Source organism: Homo sapiens, chromosome 1 (assembly GCF_000001405.40).
Source record: "Homo sapiens chromosome 1, GRCh38.p14 Primary Assembly".
NCBI lineage: Eukaryota > Metazoa > Chordata > Mammalia > Primates > Hominidae > Homo > Homo sapiens.
The window spans coordinates 16,719,573-16,732,384 of record NC_000001.11 but is presented as its reverse complement, the minus strand read 5'-3'; the positions used below and the strand labels follow the sequence as shown (position 1 = coordinate 16,732,384).

At 45.5% G+C, this 12,812-nt stretch overlaps 1 non-coding gene and 2 pseudogenes across 2 annotated transcripts in view, besides 2 other annotated features; 1 reads left to right on the top strand and 2 right to left on the bottom strand.

The window, feature by feature from the left end:
• Nucleotides 3,878-4,487: an enhancer, noted in NCBI's record as "H3K27ac-H3K4me1 hESC enhancer chr1:17054393-17055002 (GRCh37/hg19 assembly coordinates)". NCBI's record gives its function as "activates a minimal SCP1, AML or CMV promoter by ChIP-STARR-seq in naive H9 embryonic stem cells {active_cell/tissue: H9 hESC(naive)}" and the evidence as "EXISTENCE:reporter gene assay evidence [ECO:0000049][PMID:30033119]".
• Nucleotides 4,488-5,099: an enhancer, noted in NCBI's record as "H3K27ac-H3K4me1 hESC enhancer chr1:17053781-17054392 (GRCh37/hg19 assembly coordinates)". NCBI's record gives its function as "activates a minimal SCP1, AML or CMV promoter by ChIP-STARR-seq in naive H9 embryonic stem cells {active_cell/tissue: H9 hESC(naive)}" and the evidence as "EXISTENCE:reporter gene assay evidence [ECO:0000049][PMID:30033119]".
• TRG-CCC5-1 (tRNA-Gly (CCC) 5-1) lies at nt 5,030-5,100 on the bottom strand. The gene has a single exon. It is a non-coding gene; the product is annotated as a tRNA-Gly (tRNA).
• TRV-CAC13-1 (tRNA-Val (CAC) 13-1) lies at nt 6,747-6,819 on the bottom strand (annotated as a pseudogene).
• ESPNP (espin pseudogene) overlaps nt 12,228-12,812 on the top strand; it is a 28,940-nt pseudogene continuing 28,355 nt past the window's right edge. Inside the window, exon 1 of the transcript NR_026567.1 lies at nt 12,228-12,421. The product of NR_026567.1 is annotated as an espin pseudogene (transcript). The remainder of the gene's footprint in view (nt 12,422-12,812) is intronic.

Below are 12,812 nucleotides of genomic sequence, written 5' to 3'. Positions count from 1 at the left end.
CACCCCAAAATGAACATGGGTTGCATGTAACAGGCATGTTTACTCAGCATGCATGCAGCAGGATCCCTTCATGAATATTCAGAGCTCCTCCTATTCCCTGTTGAATATGTATATGTGGCCCACCACATCAACATAAATCCCTGTTCCCCCCTCCCCTCCCTGGAAACGTACTTTTCAGGTTTCAGCAGCAAGAGGGTATGCCTCCCTGTCTGTCAGAATGGCCACCTTGCAGGCTGTAACCATTTATAAAAAATAAAATCTCCCTTCTAAATTTATAAATTGTGTGATTTTTCAGTTGACAGCTTTCAGTCAGACTTTTCACTGACTGGGAAAAGTCATTTGCAATATATTTATTTTAAAAATGACTCCTCAGCATACAGAATTCTTGTGCAAAGATCACAAGCATTCTTATACACCAATAACAGACAAACAGAGAGCCAAATCATGAGGGAACTCCCATTCACAATTGCTTCAAAGAGAATAAAATACCTAGGAATCCAACTTACAAGGGATGTGAAGGACCTCTTCAAGGAGAACTACAAAACACTGCTCAACAAAATAAAACAGGATACAAACAAATGGAAGAACATTCCACGCTCATGGGTAGGAAGAATCACTATCGGGAAAATGGTCATACTGCCCAAGGTAATTTATAGATTCCATGCCATCCCCATCAAGCTACCAATGACTTTCTTCACAGAATTGGAAAAAACTACTTTAAAGTTCATATGGAACCAAAAAAGAGCCCGCATTGCCATGTCAATCCTAAGCCAAAAGAACAAAGCTGGAGGCATCACGCTACCTGACTTCAAACTATACTACAAGGCTACAGTAACCAAAACAGCATGGTACTGGTACCAAAACAGAGATATAGACCAATGGAGGAGAACAGAGCCCTCAGAAATAATGCCACACATCTACAACTATCTGATCTTTGACAAACCTGACAAAAACAAGAAATGGGGAAAGGATTCCCTATTTAATAAATGGTGCTGGGAAAACTGGCTAGCCATATGTTGAAAGCTGAAACTGGATCCTTTCCTTACACCTTATACAAAAATTAATTCAAGATGGATTAAAGACTTAAATGTCAGACCTAAAACCATAAAAAGCCTAGAAGAAAACCTAGGCAATACCATTCAGGACATAGGCATGGGCAAGTACTTCATGTCTAAAACACCGAAAGCAATGGCAACAAAAGCCAAAATTGACAAATGGGATCTAATTAAACTTAAGGGCTTCTGCACAGCAAAAGAAACTGTCATTAGAGTGAACAGGCAACCTACAGAATGGGAGAAAATTTTTGCAATCTACTCATCTGTAGTTTCATCAGAATCTACAAAGAACTCAAACAAATTTACAAGAAAAGAACAAACAACCCCATCAACAAGTGGGCGAAGGGTATGAACAGACACTTCTCAAAAGAAGACATTTATGCAGCCAAAAGATACATGAAAAAATCCTCATCATCAGTGGCCATCAGGGAAATGCAAATCAAAACCACAGTGAGATACCATCTCACACCTGTTAGAATGGTGATCATTAAAAAGTCAGGAAGCAACAGGTGTTGGGGAGGATGTGGAGAAATAGGAACACTTTTACACTGTTGGTGGGACTGTAAACTAGTTCAACCATTGTGGAAGTCAGTATGGTGATTCCTCAGGGATCTAGAACTAGAAATACCATTTGACCCAGCCATCCCATTACTGGGTATATACTCAAAGGATTATAAATCAGGCTGCTATAAAGACACATGCACACGTATGTTTATTGCGGCACTATTCACAATAGCATAGACTTGGAACCAACCCAAATGTCCCACAATGATAGACTGGATTAAGAAAATGTGGCACATATACACCATGGAATACTATGCAACCATAAAAAATGATGAGTTCATGTCCTTTGTAGGGACAGGGATGAAGCTGGAAACCATCATTCTCAGCAAACTATCGCAAGGACAAAAAACCAAACACCGCATGTTCTCACTCATAGGTGGGAATTCAACAATGAGAACACTTGGACACAGGAAGGGGAACATCACACACCGGGGACTGTTGTGGGGTGGGGGGAGGGGGAGGGATAGCATCAGGAGATATACCTAATGTAAATGACGAGTTAATGGGTGCAGCACACCAACATGGCACATGTATACATATGTAACAAACCTGCACGTTGTGCACATGTACCTTAAAACTTAAAGTATAATTTAAAAAACGTCAAAACAAGACTCAATTCTTGAATATATAAGAGAACTTTTGTAAGTCAGTAATATAGAGCTAAGCCAAATAAAATAGGGCAAAATATTCGAATAGGCCTTTGCAAAGGAGAGTTTCTTATATGCTGGAAGCCATAAGAAAATATGCTTCATAGGATTGCTCATTAGGCAAATACAAATTAATTCCACACTGAGATAGCACTAACCACTCACCAGTGTATGGCTACTTTTTTTTTTTTTCTGAGACAGGGTCTCATTCTGTCACGCAAGCTGGAGTGCAATGGTGCGATCTTGACTCACTGCAACATCCCCCTCCGGAGTAGCTGGGACTACAGGTGCATGCCACCATGCCCAGCTAATTTTTGTATTTTGAGTAGAGACAGGGTTTTGCCATGTTGGCCAGCCTGGTCTGAGAGCATAGCTACATTTAACAAAGTTAGTACACCAAATGCTGACAAGAATTTGGTGCCACTTCAACTGTCATCGCTGGCGAAAAAGCATTCTAGAAGACTGGCAATTTATACTGATGTTAAACTTATACTCAGGTCATGACCCAGCAATTGAAGGACTTCCATGAATCTCAAGTGCACACAAAGACTGTTATAAGAATATTCAGCACAAGAAATCAATAACCCCAAAATTGAGAAGTGATCTATGAAACTACGTGGATATATCTCATGAGTATAATGAATGTAACTGGAGAAAAAGGCCAGACACAAAACATATGTACATTCACTCATGTGAACTTTAAGAACAGGCAATTGTAACCTGTGGGAATAGACATCAGAATAGTGATAACTAAGAGGACACAGGGTGGGAATCACCTGGACAGGGGCTCTAACAGGCCTTTCTCAGATGATGGCAATTTTCTATAACTTGAGCTGGGTGGTGATAACATTGATCAAAACTAAACAAATTGCACTAAAGATTTGTGCACTTTATGTGAACTGTAGCTTCTTTACTGTTCTCATTGCTTGAACCTCGGAGACACAGGTTGCAGTGAGCCGAGATTGAGCCACGGCACTCCAGCCTGGGTGACAGAACAAGACTACGTCTCAAAAATAATGATAATAGTAATAATTTACTGTTCTCATAAAAATTAGCAGATGGGGAATGGAGGCAAGCCTGTGCAGACCATGACAACTAGTTTAGATTTTATTGTCAGCTCATTAAAAACTCGTTCTCGTTTTGTGTTTTTAAAAAATTCCACTGATACAGCCGTTTTCTCTACCGAAAAAGACTATAACCGCATTATTTCACCAGTGGAAGCTACAGACAAAGGGCCCTTGAGAGGCGGCATCTTCACCTACGGGAATTTTTCCTGCTCAATTGTGAGACAAAGAGCATGTCCAAGTTTTCCTATCGGCCAGGCCGCCCCCTAGTTTCTGCGCTGTGGGCTAAACTCCAGAAGCTGGCGCCCTTCGGGGCCAGAGGTTTACTCTGCTCTCTGGAGGCTGCTAGGATTAAAGGCAAAGCAAACGACAGGTCTATTAGCCACAATCGCAGGCTAGAAAACACTACTGTGACTCAGATTAGAACCCAGGTTGTGGCAACCACAACTACAAGTATTAACCACTACACGACCACAAAGCCTGCTGACAAGCATTGCACTTCTTCTATTTTTTGAATGTAAAAACACTCACACTATTTTATCTGCTTTATTCTTGGACGCCGCCGATTTTCGTGCTTTTCTCTCTTTCATGCGCTTCTCCGTTTCTCTCCCCATTCTGCTACATAATTTTAAAAAAATCTCATCTCCCAGGATCCACCCACTGCCTCTACAACAAGCCTCCTGGGAGGTCTCTTTGTCCCATTGACATCTCTGCCTTCTTTCGCTGCTTTTTTTTTTTTTTTTTGACGCAGTCTCGCTCTGTCGCCCAGGTGGAGTGCAGTAGCGCAATCTTGGCTCACTGCAACCTCTGCCTCCTGGGTTCAAGCGATTCTCCTGCCTCAGCCTCCCAAGTAGCCGGAATAGCAGGTGCATGCCACCACATTCGGCTAATTTTTGTATTTTTAGTAGAGACGGGATTTTTCCATGTTAGCCAGGCTGGTCTTGAACTCTTGACCTCAAGCGATCCATCCGCCTCGGCCTCACACAGTGCTGGGATTACAGGCATGAGCCAACGTGCCCGGCCAAATTTCAGGCCAACACCTGTTGACAGACATTGCCAGACACACGGAATCCCTCGCAGAACACCGATGGGCCCACAAAGCACGCGGAGGCCGCGGCCGCTGACGATGTGAGCAAATTCGGTTCACGGTGTCTGGGGTACAGCCCTGAGGGTCCACTGGCCACCTCTGCGCAAGGACCAGTCCCCGCCGCTCCCCTCATCTCCACGCAGATTCTTCCCCACACACCTTCCCTTTCTTTGGGCCGCTGAAGCCTCTTGGACCTCTGACGTGACTGTCCTGCCCGCAGCTTCTCTCCTTCCAAGAGCGTCATTTCTTGATCCTCTCTACAGTGGCTCAGCAGTAAGCCCAAGGTCCAGCACGCGAATCAGGAACCTGATGATTCTTCGGGTTTGCAGGGATCCGCCCCGTGAATAGATGAAAGTAACAGGTACCAATATCAAAACTGCAGTGACTCACCGGAAAGACTTCGTGCTTGCCACTTTGCTAAGCTGTTTGAGTCCAACAATTGCATGGGTCCTGGGTTAGTGTCCTGAATGTCTCTTGCCGCTACTCTCGTGAGTAATGTTGTCACTTTACCTTGTGGTGGCCAAGCCCCTAAATGCACTATTAGGTTATGCAGTATAATTTTGCAGCGTAAAAGACGGGTAAAAGGCCATAATGAAATGAAGAAGTACCTGCTGCATTGGCCGGGAATTGAACCCGGGTCTCCCACGTGGGAGGCGAGAATTCTACCACTGCACCACCAAGGCCTCTACACACCCACGGCCTGGGGGATAAGAGAAAAGAGTATCCAAAAAGACTTAGAACCTTCCAACCGCCTTTTTCAAGTGTCGACTAAAAGCTAACAAACATATCCAAACCAAATGTTTTTATAGGAAACTTTTACTAGACAAAGTTATAAATATCAAAATAGCTCATTTGGTGGATCAAACTCTTAAGTCTGAAAAAGGTCTTTCTACCTGCATTATAAACCCCTATAATAAAACATCAGAAATTCATTCATGTTTCTTTTTTCTAATCTTAAATCTTCCATTGTCAATCTCAAACTGCTGCCTTAGAGGTTCTGAGAAGGTAACCTAACTGGTAGTTTAGGTAAATAAAGTTCAAATCCAGGGAGGAAACAAGAAGCAGAAGCAGAATTAGAAGAAAGACGAAATAAAAGGACAGAATCAATGTACAGATAATGAAGAAACAAAGGTTGGTCCACTAAGTTAGTCTTTTGTCGCTGGTTTTTTTGGCAAAAGAGTAATGATCGGTCTCGTAATCATTATAATACTATTATTTGTCTGCTTGAAGATGTATAAAGCATTTGAAGGAAATGTGGTGTGAAAAGATTAAGAACCCTTGCCGTCAATGTTTCCTTGTTTGGGAGAATCCCATTTCCTAAGTTAATATGCTTTGATGTATTAGCTATGAAAGGAGTAGACTAGTTTAAGGAAATATTGACGGTCAAAATATTAACATATTAGTCTTTTGATGAAGTTCAAATAGTAGAGAGATTTCTTTCCTCAATTTTCAACGGAGACATTCAACTGAAGAGACAAATCCAGAGTTTTCCCCACATGTTGGGTCTGGGAGTCATTATGACTTTTTCAAAGACAGGAGCTGTGACATGGAATCATGCTTCTTCTCTAGCTGAGAAGCCAAGCTAGGTCCAGGCTGCGTCATAAACTTGAGCCCACCAAGGAAATCACCCTTCACATTGACCTCGCAGAGCTTTGGCTGTTCTCTGTTCTTTGCCCAACACCCAAGACACACACCAGCTCTGGCCAACAAACCTTAACATATGATCTATATCCACCAGAGCTATATTTATTCCCAAATCTCCTTCTAAAATACAAACCTGTACTTTCTACTCTCAACTTCTAAATTTACAAAGGCCTCATATGCATCTCAGAGTCATAGATGCTAAAACTTAACCGGTTTTCTGAGGATTATTTGGGGAAGGGGTATGCATTCAAAATCTTTTGTATGTAGATAATTCGTGTGGTTTCAGATTATTGACTCTACAAGTTCCAGATGCAGATTTAGAATCTTTTAAAAAAATATTTTGTTTTTGTCTCGCAAATCAGCCAGATCTGCAACTTATCAGAGTAAAGCGAAGCCCAGCGGGACACTTAGGAAATGCATTAAGATGTCATCCACTTTCAGTGTCAGCCTATGAAAATTCAGGCGACAGAAGAGAATGAAGAGAATCTTAAGGAATTTCTGGAACCAAAGCTAACATTAAGCAGGCCTCTTGCTGGCAGACCAGTGGAAACTGTAGCCTGGTCAACAATCTGTCTAGATTGAGGAGGTCTAAAGTGTAGCCACAGGTTCAACTACTTTTCTGTTTGTTTCCCAACCTCGATTAAACTCACTAAATTTAGGGACAAAAAGAAAAACCAAAAAACCATGTTTCCCTCCAGTCTCGAGCCAAGGGTCTTTCACATGTGAGGCAAACATGATAACCACTATACTACAGAAACTGCACATACACTGGAAAAGGCAAAACATAATCATGAAAATCTGAGGTCAGCCATTTCTATTATCGTTTCCAAAGTAAGAAATTCAACTGCATTTTGAAATTCGACTGAAAAAAGCCCAATAAGCACCAGCCATCAAGAAGACTATGGCTCCCAGTAGGCCCAGGCTTAGCGTTCCGCACCTACCCCCAACACGAAGACCACGGGGACCCACACCCGGGCTTCGGGATCCCGCATCCTCCCCCGGGTATCCAGTTCCAGAACTAAGCGCCGTGTGCGGGATCCTTCCGGCTGACACTCTTGGCTCCCAGAAGCTCCAGAAGCTGCAGAAGCCGGCGGGCTTTGAGCTTCCGAGCCCCGGGCGCCCCGTGCCTCGCAGGAGTGTGGACGCCGCCCTTCCAGGGATGCGGACCCCGCCTCGGGGCCTTTTCCCCGGCGCCAGCTGTCAGAGCTCTTGGCTCTTCGCGTCCTCCCAGGAACCGTAGGACCCTCCTTGCCCTCCCTTCCGCAGGCCGAGGGGCGCGAGCTGCGGGCTCTTTCCTCACGGACCCTTTGGCCTCAGCGCCTCGACGTCTTTCTCCCAAAGGGCATCCTTCACTGCTGCTGTCTCTTAGTCTGCCCCACTCAATTTAAGTAATAGTTAATCACACTTCCAGATTTCAGCAGGTACCGTAGCAAAGGCTGTGTCTCAGGGCACTTGGCTGTTTGAAAATATGGGCACATCAACTCAGGCCAAGCCACCGAGTACAAAACCCTGGAAGACCCGGGGGCAGCCCACTTAGATTTCACGATCGCTCCTCTCTCCCTCGTCGGTCTTCTGATTCTTCCTGAAGGGCAGTTTCATTTTACCCTTTACAAAACTGAAACGTCTTATATGTGCTTTTTGTAATTTTTCTGTTCAATAAGGTTTTGGAGTGCGGATTTTAACCTAAGAGGGACAAAGAGATAAAGGCGGTTTTCACAGAAAGCGTCTCGATGGATTTTCACGTTCACCTGGCAGCAGATGGCCAACAGGCAGAAAGAGTCTCTTTTTGCTTGAAGACATTAAAATCAATCTCTCTCCCCCCCCCTTCCCCCCTCTCTCTCTCTATGCCAAAAATTAGCTTCTTGGGAGGCCGAGGCAGGAGAATCGCTTGAACCCGGGAGGCAGAGGTCGCAGTGAGCCGAGATCGTGCCACTGCACTCCAGCCTGGACGACAGAGCAAGAGTGTCTCAAAAGTTTGGAGAAGAAGGTGCCATTTTCCCTAGTTGCTTTTCTTATTGCAGTGGTGACCGCATTGCCTTCAAACCTGAAGTCCGAGTGCTTCCACCCTGGGGAATATGCAGACCGCTGGGTCACTGGACGCCAGGCCGCGGTGCTGGCCTAGTTCTGCTTTTGGCTTTCAATGCAGTCGGCGGAGGCGACTGGACCTCACCAGAGACTGGTGGGATGTTACCCTCACCAGCGACTGGAGGGCCGAGCTCCCAAAGAGGCCTACTTCATGATAGCCTTGAATCAGGAAATTTCATGAAATCCCACCCCTCTACTGCCCCATTCCCATATTCTATCTCCTCCCCATATTCTATCATCTCCTCCCCTGCCCACTCTGAGAGGATTCGCCGCCTTTCTGTCGCGTCTGGACCCTTTGGAGTCCCACATGGACAAGACAAAATGGGCACTGCCTTTTCCTACAGGAGCGGGAGGAGCCCTCACGGCGGAGGAAACACAGGCTCACAGAGCGCATCCCCACACACCTGAGCCCTGCCGGGTTCCAGAAAACCCAACAAAGCACTCTCTGAAGCTTCTCTTGGATATGTACCCAGAAATAGGGTTCCTGGATCATAGGGTAGATTCTATTTTTAGTTTTTTGAGGAAACTCCATACTGTTTTCCACACCAGCTGTACTAATTTACATACCTATTCACAATGTGTGTGTTCCCTTTTCTCTGCATTATGTCTAACACATCATTCACCTTTTTGACAAATGCCACTCTAACAGGTGTGAGATGATATTCATTATGGTTTTAATTTGCATTTCCCTAATGATTAATGATGCTGAGCATTTGAGAAAAGCTAATTTTTAATGCCTTAATGTTGAGAACTGACAACATTGTTGTGAAAGATAGGAAGCAATAAGGTAAAAACAAAACAATGTCATTCAAACAGGATATCAGATTTGCACATAGGCCTTTGTGGGGCAAATGGGAACCCAGCGCACAAAAAGTTGAATTATATGGAAGCAATATCACAAATGAGTTAGGAAATGTGAAAAAAATAACCAATAAGAGAGATATAATTAAAAATAGACCTAATGGATTCACACTATCACTACAAATACTGGAAGCCCTGGGGTTTCATTTGGGGGAAAGAAATATTTGCTTTCATACACGATCAAAACTAATGAAAAAGCTAGATCCTGAGTTACTTTTCAGGCCTTTACGTTTAAAACTTAAAGTTAGCCAAAGAAAGTCCACTTTGAGATGGAAATATGAAAACCCGAATTAGCCTGGGGAAAAATCAAACCCCTAGGCACTGTTTGATTTTCTCACTTTAAAGTGGGAAATTAGATCAGATGTACCTTAAGGTTTTTCTGGTGTTAACACTCATGGTTCATCATTTTTTTCTTTTTAAAGAAAATAGGTATATTGAAACCAATAGAACAAGATAATATATATTCAGAAGGCACTTTAATCATGGGTAAACTTCATGAAAGTTAGACATTATTTTTAAGCAGAAGGAACCCTTAAGGCCTAGAAAAGAATAATGCTGTGCCCACACTCAAGACTAATGGCAAAGTGTGTTTTAGTTAAGTTACTTGGAAAGAGTTTATATAGAATGACAACATCACATAGTTTAAATGAGGGGTGGGATCATAAGCTTTCAGAAGTAGCTTTATTGGGTCCCCCTTCCCTTATTTTGTCACAAATGCTGGGGGGGCACATATGGAGATGGCCACCAGCCTGATTAAGCCTGCCAACAGAGTCTTAGAGACAGACATTCCCAAGAGCCTGTCAAATCTCAGGTTCACAAAGCCCAAGGAAGATTGGGTGCCTGGGAATTGAGCGGCTTTGTCTAAGGATCTTTCTTCTTTGACCTGGGTGCACATGTCTTCACAACCTCAACTGCTATGCTACTGAACGCCGTTGCACATGTATACTGTGAATCGACCCTACCACAAACCTGTGACCTAGATTTGAACATACTTTGTTACGGGGAACAGCAAAAAGTCAGTGGCTTTGCAGCAACCCCGACAGCTCTGTCAATCGTTGATCCATATAAGCTGTTCAGGGCCCTGCTCTGCTTAATGTATTGGTGACCTGAAGACCTGAATGGAGATCTAAAGCATATAATTAATTCTACAAATCATCCCCAATCAGGGGGCCACTACATGATTTGTGGAAATGCACATCGAATATTTGGATGACTTGGATAATGGGGGAATGATTCAGTATAGCCAGAATGAATTTATAAGTGACAATTACAAGTCACAATATTTATAGAGATAAAAGAAAACAGCATGACCCAGCAACAGCTGTGGGGGAGGGGTGGAAAATTCAGAGGTCGAAATTGACCCTAAGTTAAGTAAAAGCTCCAAATGCTGCCACCGAGAAGGAAAAGAAGCCAATGTGACATTGGGACGTAGTAAGATTCATATTGGACAGACAGGCAGGAACTCCTTGTACTGAAGTAATTAGTCATATGATAAGTGGATTATCATAACTCAGATTTTGATTTGCACCCTTTTAAGAGCACAGGAAAAGACCAAAGATAAGCCCAAAATGAACAATAACAAAGTCTAAAAGTGAACAAGTTCCCATTTGAGGAAAAGCGATAAGATCTGCTTTAATTAAAACATTGATGAATAACTTCAAGAGTGTCCTCGAGAAATAGAAAGGTGCTGGGCAATTGTTCCTGCCTCTGTTTCTTCCACATGCTGAGATTTGTAGAGAGAGTTTGTCCGGCAGCATCGGCACAAGGATAATAACCAAAAAGTGAGGTTGGCTGCTCGGCAGGGTGGCTTCACCTCCACCTCTCAGTAGCTGCAGAGTGTGATTCTTCTACTGCCAATGAAATAGTTGGTGTTGGCAGGGCACGGTGGCTCACGCCTGTGATCTCAGCACTTTGGGAGGCTGAGGTGGGCAGATCATGAGGTCAGGAGATCGAGACCATCCTGGCTAACATGGTGAAACCCCGTCTCTACTAAAAATACAAAAATAAAAAAATTATCCAGGCGCGGTGGCAGGTGCCTGTAGTCCCAGCCACTCGGGAGGCTGAGGCAGGAGAAAGGCGTGAACCCAGGAGGTGGAGCTTGCAGTGAGCCGAGATCGCACCACTTCACTCCAGCCTGGGCGACAGAGCGAGACTCCATCTCAAAAAAAATAAATAAATAAAATAAAATAAAATAAGAAAAAGGAAATAGTTGGTGTTGTCTTCCCTGCGTAGCTCCACCTTATTCTAATTCTGTGACTGGGTCTGCTGACTTTCCCCAGTGCCCTGAGTCCTCCCTCTCAGCTGCCCTTGAGGGAGTCGGAGTTACAGGCAGGGCCTCAGGCTTTGCGCCCAGATATCTTAAGCCATCATCTCCCGCCATCCAGGACTCAGGTGTTGCAGAGCTGATGGAGCTTCCTGACTTGTGACAAAACTCGCAGGACCCTGTCTCCTCAGGAAGAGAAGAATCACCACATTCACACCCTCCAGCCCTGTTTCAACCTTGTTTGTTTGCATTTGTTTTTAATTTCTTATGTGCTTTTCTCCCTCACCATCTCTGGATTCTCTTCGCCTCTATGGGGAAATTCCTCCTGCTCATTTGGTGTGTCCTTCCTACCCAAACCAGTCCCCAGGGCCCTTATTGCCTGACTAAGGCACTGAGGTTGGGTTGCTGGAGGCGCACCAAGGTGGAGGTCTCTGTTCCCACGTGACACCTAGGAAGGGTGGAGAGAGAGGGGGCAAGTGTTGGATGCAGGGGCTGCCCCCCAATCCTGATGCTAGCTTGGTACAGCCCCACAGCCACCCTTCCTGGCCCTGCTCAGCCCAGTAACCCTGTGTCACTCCTTCAGGCATTCCCTGAGCCCCTGGGAGTCAGGGCTGTGGCCCTGGGCCTGGAGCCAGTCTCCTGCCATGACAACCAGGTGCCTGTCGTGTAGGCAGCTCGCAGTCAGGACCTGCAGCCTCTGAAAACCCTGCACGGTGCTGCCTATTGGCTACGTACGGTTCAGAGAGGGCCAATTAGTTGCCCAAGGACAGAAGCAGGATTCAAACCCAGGATCCGCTTGACCCAAAAAAACCACTGCTGAGTGAGGCCTGGCCAATTCTTCCAGGGAAGACAGAGAGCACAGAGCTACCTTCCAGGCCTGTGGGAGTCTGGGAGCGGCCCAAGCCAGGGGCGGGGCAGCAACAGGCTTTAGGACTTGAACCCGCTCTCCTCCCACAGGACAAAGACAATTCTGGTCCCACAGTCTTGCATCTGACTGCCCGCTTTGGCCACCCCAAGGTGGTGAACTGGCTCTTGCATCATGGCGGTGGGGATCCCACCGCGGCCACAGACATGGGCGCCCTGCCTATCCACTACGCTGCAGCCAAAGGAGACTTCCCCTCCCTGAGGCTTCTCGTCAGGCACTACCCTGAGTAAGATCACTCCTCTTAAGGGGTCCTCTGGGTGGGCCGGGCCAGGGCTTTGGGGGATGCCTGGGATTTTCCACACTTCTCTGGCACTCCAGGGCAATGATCCCTCCAGTAGCCATCCTGGGGCCAGAGGGCCAGGCCAGAGAAATGGCTCCCACTCAACATGAAATCTTCCCCTCCTGGAAAACCCCTTCTGGGGCTGCCCCCAGAGCCCTGCAAGCAGGTGCTCCCAACATCCTCAGCTGCCCGGCCGCACGCAGCTGGACCTGGGAGGCTGGGCACACAGGCCAAGGTCACCTGTTCCCCTTGGGCTGCTTCTGCCGCAGGGGCTCTCTCTGGCTCAGGCTGTGCTCATTTGCAAGACTGTTCAGAATGGAGTTGGGGGCAGCAAGGG